This window comes from Homo sapiens, chromosome 3 (assembly GCF_000001405.40).
Source record: "Homo sapiens chromosome 3, GRCh38.p14 Primary Assembly".
NCBI lineage: Eukaryota > Metazoa > Chordata > Mammalia > Primates > Hominidae > Homo > Homo sapiens.
Genome location: NC_000003.12, coordinates 53,772,465 through 53,789,047, shown reverse-complemented (window position 1 = coordinate 53,789,047; position 16,583 = coordinate 53,772,465). Strand labels below are relative to the sequence as shown.

General features: G+C 47.8%; 1 protein-coding gene across 22 annotated transcripts in view, besides 1 other annotated feature; it reads right to left on the bottom strand.

Annotated features, from left to right (window-relative positions):
- Positions 1-16,583, bottom strand: part of CACNA1D (calcium voltage-gated channel subunit alpha1 D) — a 319,123-nt gene that overhangs the window by 24,686 nt on the left and 277,854 nt on the right. For 21 of the 22 annotated variants that reach the window (NM_001128840.3, NM_001128839.3, NM_000720.4 and 18 more), the window contains 8 exons: positions 16,150-16,215; positions 14,370-14,461; positions 13,003-13,162; positions 12,318-12,445; positions 12,092-12,188; positions 8,920-9,022; positions 7,381-7,482; positions 2,096-2,226 (listed from right to left, as the gene is read on the bottom strand). In NM_001128840.3, coding sequence (NP_001122312.1) covers positions 2,096-2,226; positions 7,381-7,482; positions 8,920-9,022; positions 12,092-12,188; positions 12,318-12,445; positions 13,003-13,162; positions 14,370-14,461; positions 16,150-16,215 — 879 coding nt within the window. Of the gene's footprint in view, positions 1-2,095; positions 2,227-5,942; positions 6,674-7,380; positions 7,483-8,919; positions 9,023-12,091; positions 12,189-12,317; positions 12,446-13,002; positions 13,163-14,369; positions 14,462-16,149; positions 16,216-16,583 lie in introns of those variants that run through there. The other variant, XM_047448873.1, reaches the window with a different exon arrangement.
- Positions 14,899-15,028: an enhancer, noted in NCBI's record as "active region_19973". NCBI's record gives its function as "activates an Ori minimal core promoter by ATAC-STARR-seq in GM12878 lymphoblastoid cells {active_cell/tissue: GM12878}" and the evidence as "EXISTENCE:reporter gene assay evidence [ECO:0000049][PMID:35858748]".

Genomic DNA, 16,583 nt, shown 5'->3' with positions numbered 1-16,583 from the left:
TCAACTTAAGACTCAGTAAACCCCATACGTGAAACCTGGTAATGACTTAGCTGTGTGTTGTTTGTGCATATCTTAAAACATCAAAACACTATTTCCAGCCACTAGAGAAAGTGCTGAAATTGTCTAATTGGGAAGTCTTGGGGGTTCAGAAAAAGTATAAATGACCCTGCATCCAAGTGGCCGCCATGCCTCTCACAGAAAATGCAAGATTCTCATGGTACCTAGCTAACCTGCTGGCTGTAAATTAGGACATCAACCATCGATGACAGACTATGTTCCTCCCTCCAGAAAAGTTATCAAGTTCTGGTCCCAATTAGGCTCCCAGAACAATAAGCAGTTCCCTACAAGCAGAGGGCACTGGGAAATGGAACTAAACCATCTAACCAGCCTCATCTTCTGGGCAGGGGACTCCTTTAAGGACAAGCCTGCAGAAGCATGTTCATCACTCCCTCTCCTGGCACCCAACCTGGCCACGCTGCCCTCAAGGATGGATGGACCAGAGACTTCTTCTAATCTGCAAACATATCTCTGCAGTTTGCTTTGTCTTTCGGAGGCTAGCTGTGAACTGCAATCCAGGAGGGGGGCTGTCACTTTTACAAACTGGATTGGTTGGAAGTGAGAAAGCTTCATTTGCAAATCCTACCACCTGAGATGCCAATGGGCTGTGTGACTGAGCCTGTGATTCCCTCAGCTACCTTTAGGATACGTGATGAGAGGCAGGAAGATCACTGTCTTCAGTCGGATTCATGGTCCACCTGCCAACCCGCATATGCCTCTTTCCCCAGCCCCTGTAGCTGTCTGGGTAGAGCAGAGGTTGCACCATGAATCAGCAGGTCACTGTTACACAAGGCCATCTACTAACCCACGAGATACACACACACAGCTCATGTTTGTCATTCACTCATTCACTGTCATTCATATTCATATTCATATTCATATTCTCTCTCTCAGCAAGATCAAAGATAAGCCCTCATTTGGGCTGTTACCATCACTTTGAACACACAACGCTGCGCATTTTTCCCTGGATAAGAGTGAAGGACTCTTCCATGTTGAACCTTATCAATATCTACAAGGCCAAATTTAACATGTACTGAGAACAGGGGCATAAAATTGTGGCGTAAATAGATTTTAAAAAATTCTTTATCCTATCCATGATGGATTATGAGCACTCTGGGCAGCAGAGGTCAGTTGTTTCAGATGATTTGCCAGCCTCTGTGGTTCCCTCTTCCCTGTCCTTAGCATCTTCTCCCTCTTTGCCCTGCCTCCTTCATCCACGGCACTCACAGACCACCTTCCTAGCCCCTCTTCCTGCTGGTCCTCATGGTGCCTTCCTTGCCCCTCCACATACCTGCTTCCCATCCCAGAGCTTTGGGCTTTCCTAGGTTTCTACATTCCTCGCATGCAAGGACCCTGGCTGGTACCAGAGGTTCCTGAAAGCCACATCCACACTCTAGGAGCCTGCAGCAGGGCCCAGGTGGAGGAGGGAGAGGGACCAGAGGCTGGCTGGGGCATGAGAGCATAGCATGTGCACAGCTGGCCTCCTGGCCATCAGGAGACAACATACAGAGACAGACACACCACACATACATACATACACACACACACACACACACACACACACAGAATACATACTAGGAGGTGATGGATGTTACTGAAATGGACCAAAAACCAACAAGCAGTGGGGTAAGAAACAAACGGAAACAAAACAAAGCACTTGCGTTCAGATGGAAAGCTGTTCATTCACTGGGCAGCCAGAACCCTGGAGCCCAGGGCTGTGGGGAAGGTGGGTGCCTGCTTGGAGGATGCTGCCTGGAGGGGCTGGGGTGCGAGGGTAGCGCTCGCTCCTCTCCGTCCTGGCAGCCCTGCCGCGTGGGTAGTGGCAGGTGCAGGGCTCTATGGGGTAGGCATCGGGGAGGGAAGCACTTACCTTGTGGCCCAGAAATGGCTAGTCCACATTTGGGGGAGTGTGTAGTATCTCAGTTTAAACAAAATCCTTGTGGTACTGCTCAACCATGAATAGGCAGCTCTCTAGTATTTCAAATAAGCTTGTAAAATCGTTAGTCAAAAGAGAAAACAAAATGAGACAACAATTCACCTGTAGGGCAATTGTGGTGTTCTTCGCAGGGTACTTTCCCACCAGTCCTTGTTCTTTCCGTTTCTTGAATTTCCTAAAGTAGTCCTGTATCAGGAAAGTGGCATAGAACTTCCCCACGGTTACCTCATCATCTAAACGGAGAGACCAGACAGAGCTCTCCCGAATCAGCACATTAGACCAAGAGCCTAAACACTTGCTTCTGGCTGGGGCAGGGGCAGGGGCAGAGTGGGGCGGGTGGGCGGTCCGGCGCAGAAGGCACCGAGGTCTCAGCATATAACACAGGGGTCTCAAACCAGCAAAAAGCAAGGTTTTGCAAAGCAACTAAGGCTCAAAATTAGTGTCAGTTAAATGAACTGATACTCTAGGTTGCAGAAAATAATATATTTGTTATGAGTTTAATAGAGCAGCATATTAGTAACACTATGAAATGCTGTCTTGGTTATTTACTTAAAATAAAAATTACAAAACAAAAAGAGGCTTCACGGGCCACATTTCACCCCTGTGCATAGGGATTTGCATGTATAACTACCATAAACTTATCAAGGGCAATTAACCGTCCAAATCCCGATGTCTCAAGATAGAGACCTAGAAAGGTGACATACATGCTCAGAAGGAGAGGAAGGTTTAGAAAAGTGACTGCAAATTCAGATTTTCATGAGCTCCCCGCCCCCTATTCTCCACCAATAAGCTCCATATACCATTTCTTGGTTTGTAATTCTGAACAGCTCATTTTCTGCACTGTAGTGACAGCTCCAACCAACCTCATAGTTGAGCTGGGCTTATTTTTGCTTTGTTCAGAAACAACCTCCAACGTGTATGGTTGGGGAATCAGAACTCTGCTGATGACTTTAAAGGTGATGCATGAGGCAGAATAGAGGCTCTGGCTGTCTCATGGTAAACCACTTTGGACGTGTAAATGTGCCCCATGGCTCTCCCACGGCTGCTTGCTACCAAATCTTCAGTGTGCTGTGTCTCTTGGGGGTAAAGCTTGTGACCACTTTAGTACTCCGTCCCATGTGTGTGGGGCCATGTGGGGCCCTGGGGGCCACTGACCACAACTTGCAGAGGCTGGAAGGAGGAATGGTTGCTGGTCCAAAGGCTACAGAGCAGCTGGCTTTTAGGCCAGGCCACCCTTGCAAGATCTACATGCTGATGTGGGGGCAAGGGGCTCAACCTCTCTGAGCTTGTATTCTCATCTGTAAAGTGGGGATAAGCCTCTCAGAGGAGCCGTGAGGATGATGTGGGAGGAAGCAGGTAAAGCACTCAGCCACCTGGCTCAGGCTGTCTTAAGTGCTGGGCACTTGATGTTGATCATGAGCCCTCAGAGTCACCCTTATTTTAAAATGTGCTGACGGTGGCATCCATTGACATGGATCCTGAAGCTTGATGGGCTGGGGGACATGGAGAACCATCATCCTTCACTAATGTACCCGGGGTGGGCTTCACTTAGTGCCCATCCAGGAGGTGCTGCCAACATCTTGTGGTCCCCACTGGAGATGCCCGGGCCTCCTTGGGCTGCCTCTCCAGGCCTCCCTGTCAGAAGCCACTCAGTGTTACTGTGTGAGAAGGCTGTCTCAGGTGGTCTGGCCTGGAGAAGTGTTCTGTTCCTTCTAAACCTAAGCTAAGATAGTCCTGGAGTGGTGTAGGGGCCACCCAGGTATAAGCCAAAGACTCTGAGTAGCATGTAAAACATGGTTCCTAATCTGTCTCGGCTTGTCTAATGATGCAAGGTCCATAGGCAAGAAGGCAGGAGGTGAGCAGAGACCACTCAGGTCCTGGTATTTCACCCCTCGCTGTACTCTCCAGCCTCCCCATTTGCTCAGGGTATGTTTGGAATATCAGCTCTGGCTCTAGCCAGCCCCTACTGTTGGACATCTATAGATGCCAAGCCCTGTGTCAGAAGAATTCCATGTGGGTCTCATGGCCTCTTCACAACTCTGACATGGTGGATCTGCTCACCACCACCCCCTCCAACAGATGGAGAGGGCTAAATGACTTGCCCAGCTCAGTCAAGCCGGGACCTTACCACAGGACAGTGTGCTCCTTGAGTCTGGGATCCTATCCTTCATACCACCTCTCCAGAGATGGCCGTCTCCAGCCACACTGGCTGCTGGGCTTCTTCAGAGCTGCCTCTCACACCATGCAAGTGTATCCCTTTCCCAGGCTGCACACAAAAAGTGGACACGCTGTTGTCTGGCTAATGACTCCAGGGACCCCAGGGAGAGTCTCTGGTGGCCTGCCATGCCACAGCCTTCCTCTATATTCCAGGGCTCTGTGTCTTCTCTGTGGGGCCCAGAAAACGCCCTGGCTCTACCTGAAGAAGACCCACACCCCATTCCACCCTGATGCTTCTAGCAAATACAGGCCTAACTCTGATCTCCCTTCAGCCTCCAGAGTAGAGGCAGACCCACCCAGAGCTCTGCAGGAGAGAACTCAAGGGTCACTTCGTCTTCTCCATTGAGACACTGTGCTAATTAGGAGACTGGGCCCAAGGAAGAGTTCCTAAGAACAAGAAAAGTCAAAGCTACAGCAGGACAGAACAGGAAGGAAGAGAAGGAATGAATACAAGGAGGCCATCTGGGCTCCGGACTGAAAAGAAGGCAATGGAGGCAGCTCAGTGTGCTCTTCAGGGCAAAGGAGCAAAGGATCCAGGTCATGGATGGAGGAGAGTCCTGGGGAGGAGAGAGAGCTTCTGAAATGAAGGGAAAGGACCCACAAGATGGCACGGGAAGGCTGAAGAGCAGAGGTGAGAACCTGAGCTGAGAGGCAGAGATGAGGCGGCTCAGCACTGATGGTGAGGGGGCAGCGGAGACCCCCGGGCCACTGGGAGTGAAGCAAGCCTGACATGTATCCACAGATCCACAGCTCATTCCTGATCTCATCATCAGGCTCATGAGGAGCCAGGCCACACCTCACAGCACACTAGCGAAGCCACCCAAGACAAGCATCTGACTCAGTTCTATCACCAGGGCTAAAAGGGGCTTCCTGAGCACCCCACATCTGCCAGTCCCAGCCACTTGGAGTGGAGGCTGGCCTTACTCAGTCTCCTGCTTCTTGACCAGGTGATGGTGTAGGGGATGCTGAGGCCCTCAGCCTCAAGAACTCCACATCTGTTCCCAGAGGGGTATGCAAATATCCTTTTCTAAGTATGCTGTGATGCAGGAAAGGTTGGGGACATGGGCCTACTGAAGGATAAAAGAGGAAAGACAGACAAATGATGAATGTGGAGAACCAAGCCCTGTCCGGCAACTCTTCCAGAGTCTATGCACCAAAGCCTGATGGCCACTGCCTTCGGAACTTCCTTCGTGGCCACAGCACTCACATGAGATTCAGCCCGGATAAGCCCTGCACTGGGCACATCACTCAACACAGGCAGGGAGCTTGCAAAGCCTTGCATCCCTCCTAAGGCCCCACTTCTCTCTTCTTGTGCCTCACACTGCCTCTCGCTGCCGTTGTGGAATAGATTAAAACCTGTCATCCTAAACTCCAATCCATTTTAAGAAATAGAGAGAAAAGGCGAGGTCCAGTTATTGGACCAAGAAAGAAGAAGATTTCTACTCTACTAGAAGTCTGATAAAGCTAAAAGTTGATCAGCTTTTCAAAGGAAGGGAGCTTCGATGGCGAGCTAAATTCTGGACTTTTCTTTTGGTAAAATGAAAAGAAATGAAGTTTCACACTAATGCAAATGACACCCTCCGAGGGCATTTCACGAGGATGGGCATCAATGTGGGAGTCTGGCTGGTTGTGATGAAGGTGGCGTTCCAAGAGAGATGTGAGGTGGAGCGAGGGAGGAGCGGGGTCCTCAGCTCGCAGGGGGAAGGTTTACATAGACAGACATAGCCCACTATTCTGAAGCATGCATCTGTATTTAAAGAAACAACGTAGGGGAATACAGTTGGCAAGAGATAACTCTGATTCCATGCCACCACCCTAAAACAGAATTGCTTCAGAATATTCTGAAAGACTGAGAGGTGAAAGGAATGGAGGCTGCAGGAAAAGCTCAAGCACATTGTTACAATTTTTCCAAAGCATTTCATGTAAGCCATGCAAGCTCTTAGGTGTGCAGCTAAAAAGAAAAGAATGAAAACCAAGGAGTTGTTTTAAATGTGCAGTATCGGTTCTCCTGTGGGAAGCCAGGGCCCTCCAGGTGGGAGGACTTTTGTTTTGTTTTGTTGTTGTTGTTGGTTTGTCTTCCTTTTATCATTTCTTTCTGGGCCATCTTCCCCAGCTTTGAGCCTGTGGCTGTGCCAGCTACGGGTAACCCCTTCAGCAACAAAAGCTCACGTTGCTTCTCGCTTCATGCTAAGGAGCAGAGCTGGCTGGCATGCTGCTCTGTCTGCGCCCCAAGAGCCAGAGCTCATCACCTTCTCAGGGGCAGGGCCTCGGTCACCGTCCTGGCCTGGGTCCTGAAGTCAGCTACCAGACCTGAGCCAGACCAGTCTCGAAAGCCGTGGCGGCAGCGACGCTATAAAAGTTCGCTGGTCACGAAACACACCAAAGGCTCATCACGTGCCCGGCCCAAGGATGCTAGAATGCTGGTGTGGTGGCACTGGGTGAACAGATCCTGCACCTTTAAAACTTGGAAACAGAACAGTCAAAAACAACCATCTCAACGTCTAAGTCCACATGTACTTAAATAAAAATGCAAAGCCAGTATGCATATATATATATATATATATATATATATACACACACACACACACACACACACACTGTATGTGTGTATATATATAGATGTTTTTTATATATATAAAAATTTAAAGAAGGTTAGTTATTTTGTGATAAATAACAAAAGGAAATAAGCATGCCTGTTAGTTAAAAGGACATTTTTGGTAATTACGGTAGTAAATTCAGTCTTGATAAGAACATTTCAAAAATACAATTTCCTGAAAGCTGTCTATTTTTCATGGGACATTTTCAACAATATACTGAAGGGTAATTGGAAACTAGTTTTGAATATTTCATTTTGGACAAAAAATATAGGCTTTTCACTTTGAGATCACAATCTTGTCCTCAAACATTAATTCCTCCACCAAAAAGAAAATCCCTGCTCCAGCCATGTGAGTTTTGGTTTTTCACTGAAGCCTCTCCTTTGTCTGGAATGTTCTTCATATCACCCCCAAAATAATCACACCAAATGGCCAAAGGGCTTTCTTTATCAGTTGGCCTTAATGCTCTAAATGATACATAAAGCATTTTGCAAACACTCTCTGGACTTTCTGGAGACACTAGCATTAAAACCAAAGCACTGGCCAAGGACTACTTAGGAAATAGACTGCACTGACCACCAGCTGGAGGGACAACTTGGTCAAGTAATTTCATGCTGGTTTTCTTCCAAATTTTCTTTATCACAGCCCGAAGTTCTTCATTAGCTTGCTCCAGGTTCCCTGGATTCAAAAAACAAAAGGGGAAAAGCAAGCCTCATTTCTGTTCCCCAGCTCCTCCTCTGCTTGCACAGCCTTGTCCCAGCCTGACCTGGATGAACATGCTGCCCTCTGATGGGGCTCCACTCCCACCAGGCTCTCCCCAGTCAGGGGCAAACACACTTCCTATATTCAGCAATAGCGATCATGCCTTCCCAGTGGGAAGTCCCTCCACCATGGGAACAAACACGGTTCACCCTGGGATTCAAGGCCTGTCCCACTCTGATTCCATCCTGCCCTCCCACAGCTGAGACCTACTACTTGCTTTCCATTGTTCCCAACCCAGAATGTCTTTGCCTTCTGCTCTTTCATGGGTTGTTCCAAATCGTACCTCCTTCCTTGAAGATCCAGCCTAAATTTCACCCAAATAAGACTCTCAATTCCTACTATATGTACTCATCCATACAACATAACCTTGGCCTTTTATTATATGAGCTGACACTTGTCTTTTCAACTAACATGTCAGTATAGAGGACCATTCTGCCTTCTGGAGCCCTTAACAATGCTGGCCTGGGGCCAGGTACAGACAAGCATGCTACAAGGCGCCCCTGTTAGTTAGGCTGGAAGAGGCTGGCTTTGCTGGATCAAGTCTCCCTGGGCTCTAGGGTTGTAAGAAGTCACCTGCCTGCACTCAGCATGAGTCCCTTGCTGCCTCCTCTTCCCTCTCCTCCACCAGTGCCTCAGAGAGTCAGCTCTCCTTGAGGTCTCCACCTCCCACCTCCCCCCACCTCCTGGTCACTCCTCAGCCTGTTGCAATCTGCTCTCCATTCCACCTCTGAAGTCACCACTGAGCCAGCTCCAATGGCCACACTCTAGTGCCTGTTTTACCAGGATTTGACCAGGGCTGAGCATGGCTGTGAAGGCCATTCTGGTTTGGTCTCTCAGCTGGGAAGATGCTGATCCCACTATATTTCTCAAGTGCTGACTGTGTGCTAGGCACTGCAAAGGAGCTTTTGCAGACATCACCTCATTTCATCCTCAGGACCTCCTAGACATCCCCGTATTTCCTTTTCATAGGGAAAGAAACTACAGCTCAGACCAGTGAAATCCCTCACTGCAGGTCATACAACTAGTTAGGGATGGTTGGAGTGAGTTCATTTGTGATGGCTTCGTCTCTGCTCCGATACCCTGCCTGTTTCCCTTGCTATGTAGTAAGCAGTAGTATGAGTCAACTCAAAACATTCTGGGACAAAGTGAAGCATAAAGGAAGGAGATAAAGGATGAGGAAACAGGAGGCAGGGGCCAGCCGGCAAGCCCAGCATGGACATCTTCATTCTACTTGCCAGCCCCTTCCCCAGGGCCTCCCCTTGGCCAAGAAAAGGCCCAGATGAGGAAGGCAAGATGGGATGTGATGTCTCTCTCCTTTCCTGCCATCTTGTCTTGCTGGCAGGGAATGCTCACCTTCGGTCTTGATCTTAAGAGCCGTTCGAACCAAAGCAAACAGGGTTGCATTAAACATGACTGTCCCGTCACTGTTGAGAGGCATGTTCATGGCAACTAATCTCTGTAAACAGAAAGGAAGGTTTCTTTGTAGAATGCAAATGAGTGACCACGACCATATCCTTTTGGATGTTTATTTTCCGTTTATCACTCATCTCTTTTCTAGTCAACCCTCAATTCCATTCAACAGCCATTTGGGGGTACGCATATGATGGTTAATTTAGGTGTCAAGTTGACTGGGCCACGAGATGCCAATTTGGTTAAACATGATTTCTGGGTGTGTCTGCGAGGGTTTTTCCAGATGAGATTAGCATGTGAATTGGTAGAGTGGGTAGAGTGAGTAAAGCAATGCCCTCCCCAATGTGGGTGGGCCTCATTCTGTTGATGAGGGCCCACAGAGAACAAAAAGGTGGGGGAAGATTTAATTCTCTCTCTATAGGCCTGATTAAGCTGGGACATCAATTGTCTCCTGCCCTTTGACTGAGGCTTACACCATGGGCTCCCCTGGTTCTCAGGACTTTACTCAGAGTGGACACCAACACCAGGTCCAGCTTGCAGATGGCAGACCATGGGGCTTCCCAGCCTCCATGATCACGTGAGCCAATTCCCCATGATAAACCTCTGTGTGTGTGTATATACATATACACATATATACACACAAATACACACACACACACACACATACATACATATACACCTCCATATCCATCCTATTGGCTCTGTTTCTCTGGAGAACCCTGATTAATACAACCTACCACTTAGGGGACTCTGGGATGACAAAGATCAAAGGTTTAGTCATGAAATATAAATGTTAACACGCAGATGATGTTTTGTTTTTTAAACCGTGAAACTTCACTGTTCAAACAGTCTTCTCCTTTTTTTCACTAATCTCAATGGAGATCTTAGGGTCAGACCTCCATTCCAGGCACATTGTTTTTGTTTTGTTATGTTTTTTTAGAGATGAGGTCTCGCTTTGTTGCCCAGGTTGGTCTTGAACTTCTGGCCTCAAGGGATCCTCCTGCTTTGGCCTCCCAAAATGTTGGGATTACAGGTGTGAGCCACCGTGCCCGGCTCCAAGCATGTTTTTAAAGCTGTTGTGAGGGTTAAAGGAAGTAAAAGACAATGGGCCAGGCACAGGGCCTGGGACTTAGGTTCTCAACCGACGGGATCCATTACTATTCCCAACTCAGGGAATGTCCTTCAGACCTTGCCTAGTTAGACCATCATGTACATCTTGTGGCATTTTGCATGAGCCTATGTGGCTTCTCCCAGGCTTTGGTCTTTCAGAGCAGGATCCATGCTCCCCACTCCTCTTCTATATCCTGATCCCTTTAACACCAGCAATGAGAGTTGGAGGGGGTTTGGGTGAGGTACACCCTCTCTGGACCCCAGTCACTTCAACCTGTAAATGCAGATGACATGCCCAATGGATGGGAACTTGCAAGGATTAAAGGACTCACGGACACAAAGAGTTTTGTGTGAGGCAAATGGCAAGCACTAAATTAATGGTGATGTTGATAATATTTAAAAACTTCTTATTTTTCATTAACAGCATGTTCCAAAAGAAAAGATTTTCTTTCTCTTCCATATTGATGATTTGGAATCTTGTGTCTGCATAAGTCCATCCCACCCAAATTCCTAGTCCTCCTACCAACCCCGGCACCCTCTTCAAAACCAGCACAGGCAGCCAGGGAACCCTGGACATTTGTTCACTTTTCCTGGTAAGTTCCTGAGTCAGCAAAATGGATGACTGTGCCTCAAGGACATTTGAAAGCTTTATGTAAAAGGGTCTGGAAATTTAAACACAAGAAGACATCAGTGAACGGGATCCCACACTGTTCTTGGAAAGCAGAAAAGAGGCCAGTACTGGGAAGTTTATGGAAAAAAAAAAGTCAAGCTCTGTTTCAATATCCAGAGTCCGGCCTGAAGAGAGGCAAGGACCCTAAGGCCTTGCCTAGAAGGCTTTCTGGATTTTCAGGGCAGGGAACATGAGTCTGGCTCAAGGGATTTCTTTGAGAGTCTGAAACATATTTTAGACTCTGTTCTGCTACCTTGGTTTCTGTCTAGAGCTGGCTCAGCATCCTGGAGTGGTAAAAACGCCTGACCCCAGGATCTCCTTGGATCCATGAGGAGCAAGAACTAGTTGCTATGCAGACTGTATGAATTTCTAGAAGGCAGAGTTTCAAGAGGCAAACCTTGCGTTTTCCTTGAAAAAGGAAAATCTTTTTTGTCGCTGCAACAAATGTAAGGTGCTACACCGTGAGTTCTGTGGAAGGAAAAGTCTCACTGAGGGTTCCTGAGAGCGTGCTCTGGCATGGAAACACAGAACTGCGTTGCACTGGGAGATCTGCATCCATCCCTGAGAGACTAGAGCCTAGTGTGCCAGCAAAGGGGCCCCATTTCCTGTGGTGGCCACAAAGCTCTGTAGCAGAGGGGACGTGTGGAACACAGAGCACCATGTCCCCCAATGCCGAGGCTGGGAGATGTGCTCTCCTAGCACTCCCCCTCCCCTCACCCAGGCCACCAAGTCCTCCCCACTCCACATCCTAAGTGGATCTCCAAGCGACTGCTCCTATCTCTTCCCACTTCTGCTGCCTTCGTTCTGGCTCTCCTGGTTGATCCCCCTGCCTCAGGTCTACTTCTCCATTGCCAACAGCCAACTTCCTAACATGGGAACCTGAAATTCACGTTTCCTCCCCATTCTCCTGGACCTCAGCAGGACAGAGAAGGCTCAGCTTGTACCTGGGGCCTTCTGACTTCCTCTTATGTCCTAGCCAAAGGATGACCCAATGGCTCACCCTTTGCCATTACGATGTCCATTCTCCTGCCTCCTTCTGAGCCCTCCCTGCCTCTGACAAACTCCTGTGTTCCTTCTGGACCGGACTGAAATGTCGCCTTCTCTACCATCCACCCAATGACAAATTACAGAATTCCCTTCCTCTTCTGATGGTTCCTGAGAGGGTGTCCAAAGAGTTACAAATCTGAGATTTCCCCAGAGGTAGGAACCACATATTATTCATTGCTGCATCCCTAGCAACTGACAGAAGGCCTGGCTGTGTCACTTAACAAGTGTTTGTTAAATGAAGCAAGCTTCTACAAGACAGGCTGTCAGACACGCACACAGGACACTCACCTTGCACGCTACCCTGTGTGGACATAACTTCCCAAACCCCAGGGGAGGCTGGATGCGTCGAAGCAGAGTGACCACATCAAGGTGTTTTATCCTTCCCCTGGAAGTAAAATACAATCTAAGGTCCAGGAACAGTACCAGCTGGCCCGAACTTTCAGTCCACTCCACAAAAAAAGCTGACATTCCAAAATCCACCCACACACGCCAAATCAAATATTTTTCAACCTACTTTGCCTCAGGGTCATATTCTGACCATATTCTTTTGAATTCATCTAAATGGTGAGGCCCCAAAATAGACCAGTCCCGGGTCAGATAGTCGAAATTATCCATGATGACAGCCACAAACAGATTGATGATCTGAAAAAGCAAATAGGAAAGGAAGAACTTCAGCTGCAGCTGGATTGCGTTAGAACTGAGCACAGGCTTTCTAATGACATGGACATGAAACATGGGAACCCATGTCTCCAAGAGAAGTTGTAAAAACTTTCTATTTGGAGAATGTTTAAGAAAAGAGTGTGATTCTAGCTTTCTGGAATGGCTTTAATTAAGTCCTGGGGAAGGAAGGCCTTCTGAAACACATTGCAGTTTTATAATTTCATTATCACCAAATAATTCACACTCTTAGGTCACCACCATATGCACTGGCTTTGAAATTTTAGAAAGGAACCCTAAGAAGCTAAGGTGATTGGTAATTGCTCCAAGCCGATTAGTGAGCACCAAATCTCTGCTTACAAAGGTGGCGGCAGTGACACACGCCTGGTTAAACAAAAGCCCTCAACTGCCAAGTGGAGTCCAGAGTGCTCATCCACATCAATTGTCCTCAGGCGATGGGACAGGGCAAGGCCATTTGTGTGAACGCTGACTGCTACATAAGCATCTGTAAATTGAGAGGGGGAGCTGTGTTGCTCACTTACCAGAAATGCACAGAGCATGTAAAAACTGATGAAATAGACAATGGCAAAGTTGCTCCCACATGTATACTCCTCCCCGGGGTTGTAATCTGACTCAGGGTCACAGAGCTTCCCTGGGAGACAGGCCAGCATGATCTCCTGCCAGGCCTCACCTGTTGCACACCTTTTTCAGATGAAGAACAAAGGGGCTTTAGTGGGGGAAAGAAGGAATTTGAAGCTTAGATCTTAGGGGAGAAAAACTCATAATTAGAGCAAAACCTAAGTCATTTGAAGAAAATCCAATTTGAATTAATGGAAATGTGAAATTCCTACTGATTTTCACGTGCAACTTATCACAGTAACTGGAGGTCCTGCTGCAATTCCCTTGGATTTACAGCCATCATCTGATGCAAGCGCGCTAACTGTCTGCATATAAATGGATGCTTGTTTTTGTGTCTTCTCTACTTTAAACATTTGTATAATTAACAGTAATTAATTATTATTATTATTTGAGACAAGGTTTTGCTCTGTTGCCCAGGCTGGAGTGCAGTGGTGTGATCTTGGCTCACTGCAGCCTCGACCTCCTGGGCTCAGCCTCCCCAGTAGCTAGGACTACAGGCAGTTGCCACCACACCTGGCTAATTTTTGTATTTTTAGTAGAGTCAAGGTTTTGCCATGTTGCCTGGGCTGGTCTCGAACTCCTGGGCTCAAGCGATCCACCCACCTCAGCTTCCCAAAGTGCTGGGATTACAGGCGTGAGCCACTGCACCTGGCCTATTGATTATTTTTAATGACCAAAATACTTAACAACTTAAGTCTCTGTTCAATTTTGTTGAAGGCAGAGCTGGAAACCACCTAACTTGCAAATGACTTGTCAGTCACTAGAGTCATTAGAAATACTTCATGATCTCTAGAAAGTTTTCTCACTATGAGGGCAGCTTGTTTTACAAAGTTAATTAACTGACGTTAAAAGCAATCCCAAAAAATTTGAAATCATACATCTTAGGATGTTCCCCACTGGCTGTGCAAAAGGCCTTGACGTTTTTGCTAAGTTTCTGTCTTCCTGGTCGTGTTCAAGTGCATGCCTCCATGCATAAACGTACATCCTACAATTTTTCAGGTGGCCTAAGTAGCCCTACTAACTCCCAAATGAATAAACCTTATGCCAGCCACAATCGGGATTACCACAGCAGTTTTAACAATCCAGCAAAATTCCTGTGTTTGAAATGCTAGGGTCTGTGTTTAAGAATACAGAACAAACAAAAACAAAAAGCCATCACAATCAACTGAGAAAGGCACACTGCTTTAATAACCTGTGTCCTCCGTCCCTCTGGACCCACGCCTAGCGGACCCCCCTGCCCAGGAGCACCGCCCAAGCCAGTTGCAGTCACCTGAAGAGCAGCAGCACCGCCTGGGGAAACGTCTGGAAGTTATTGTTCCTATTGATCTGGTTGTTATCTCTCATGGCAACTTTCCCAAACATCTAGGTGGAGAAGTTGTCAGGAAAAAGAGAATAGATTTCGTCATGCAAAAAAAATCCGTATGTGAATTTAGAACTAACTCAGGTTTGATCTTTACCAGCTAGGGTTTTCTCATGGTACCTGGCACTTCACTCATTCAAAAAAGATCTGCCAGGCACAACCATGTGCCAGGCAGCAGGTTACACACTGGGAACGTGGTGCTCCAGAGGGGCACGGTCTCACATTCGCGGATCTCCCCTGGGGGAGACACAAAGGTAGCCAGGCAACATCAAACCCCAGTGATGATGCTGGGGTGGTCCAGACACACAGGGAAGCGTGAGACAGGCTCATCTACTGAAGGCTGGGGGGCTGGGTCAGGGAAGGCCTCTAGGGGGAAGTGACATGTAAACTCAGAACTGAAAGATACATCAGGTGATAGGAAAGGCGAAGAGTGTTTCGGGTGGAGGGAGCACCATGTGCATAGGAGCAGGGTGACAGCATAGATACCGAGGGAATGAAAATAACGTGTGATGAGCAGACAGATAAAAGACCAGGCTGGAGACAAGGGCAGGAGGCAACAGGCAGGGGCTGTGAGCCCCGGGCAGAAGAGTGGGCTTTATCTTCAGGGCAATGGGAAGGTACTAAAGAGTTTTACTTGTGAGATTTAGGGAGCAGACTGACATTCTAGAGAAACCTGCAGATGCTTACAAACGCCTGCTGGGTGAATCTGGGGTTGTGTGTGCCATGCAGCTTGCAGTTCTGAGATGGCTTTTTTTTATGAGAACATATGTGATAAAAGACCTTCCAGGGCACATAGCACCACGTGCTGCTGAATCACAGAGGCTCAAGTATGCTGACTTTTGTTTCATAACTCCTGGTAAGATTCCCAGAGATCTGCAAATGCTTCTATGCTTTCAGGATTTTAAAAAAAAAAAAGAAAAAAGAAAAAAGCACTACCATTTCTCTGCCCCAAAAATCATAGAATCACTTTACTTCTTTCTGACTTACATCCCTCCTTTACCTGAAAGACAGCACCTGCACACGTGGAGAATCTGCAAGGAGCCTGCCAGCAGAGATCTACAGCCACCTGGGCTCTTCGACTGCCTCCATTCTTAGACTAGGCTGCCTCCCTCCACCCACAACCCATCCCACTGCCCACTTGATGTTAGGGCTCCTCTGTTAGGCAGGCCCAGTCCCTTTCCCATGCCCAGGAGGAACTGGGAAACAGGGTGCAGCCCCTCTGCTTGGGTCACAGAAGAGCCCAGTTTCATGCCTCTTTTTAAAGGTGAGCTACTAAAGCACAACAATGGTCACAAAAGGCACTTGGCTCAGCACCAGCCTTCTGTTCCCGCGACGGCTCGGCACAGACTGAAAAGACCCACGAGGGGCTACTTGCTTCTCTCTTCAGTCTTGGCATCTGGAAATAGTTAGTTTCAAGTGAATTTCACTTTGTTATGATAAAGCATAATTCTTCTGCCATGACATGCAGTTTTTCCTGGTGCATTCTAACCTCTCCACATTCATCTGAGCCTGGGCCTCCCCTGGAGCTCTCTACTAAGCAGCTTTGTCTTTCTCATCTTCCTAGGCTTCAGCAGAGGCATTTGGCTGAAAAATCACAATGCTTCTACTTCACTTGGTCAGGGTACATCTTGCCACAGATTTGGGGCTACCCAGTGAAAGGGCCCCTGAGGGCGAGATGGCTGGAGCTTACCTGCATGCCAATGACCGCATAGATGAAGAACAGCATGGCTATGAGGAGGGCCACATACGGGAGCGCCTGGGAGAGAAAAGGCACTTGGCTCAGCACCAGCCGGCTGTCCCCGTGACGGCCCGCCACAGCCTGAGAAGACCCATGAGTGGCCACATGCTTCCTTTCTATTCCACGTGTTACCGTGAAAGAATATCGACAGTGAGGAAGAACCGTTTAAATCCCAGCCCTGCCCAACTACTTTAGTCCTGAAGACACCATCCACATGCACGCCCAGTGTTACAATATTACAGGCAGGATGTGCTTTCCACGGTCATTAACCCTGTAGCCTAACCCTAAACATTTTCAACACAGACACGTAACTCTCATAATCCTTAAATTCATTACTGGATTTTTGGGGTGAAATTATAATTGATCAAACCATTCCAGAACACTGG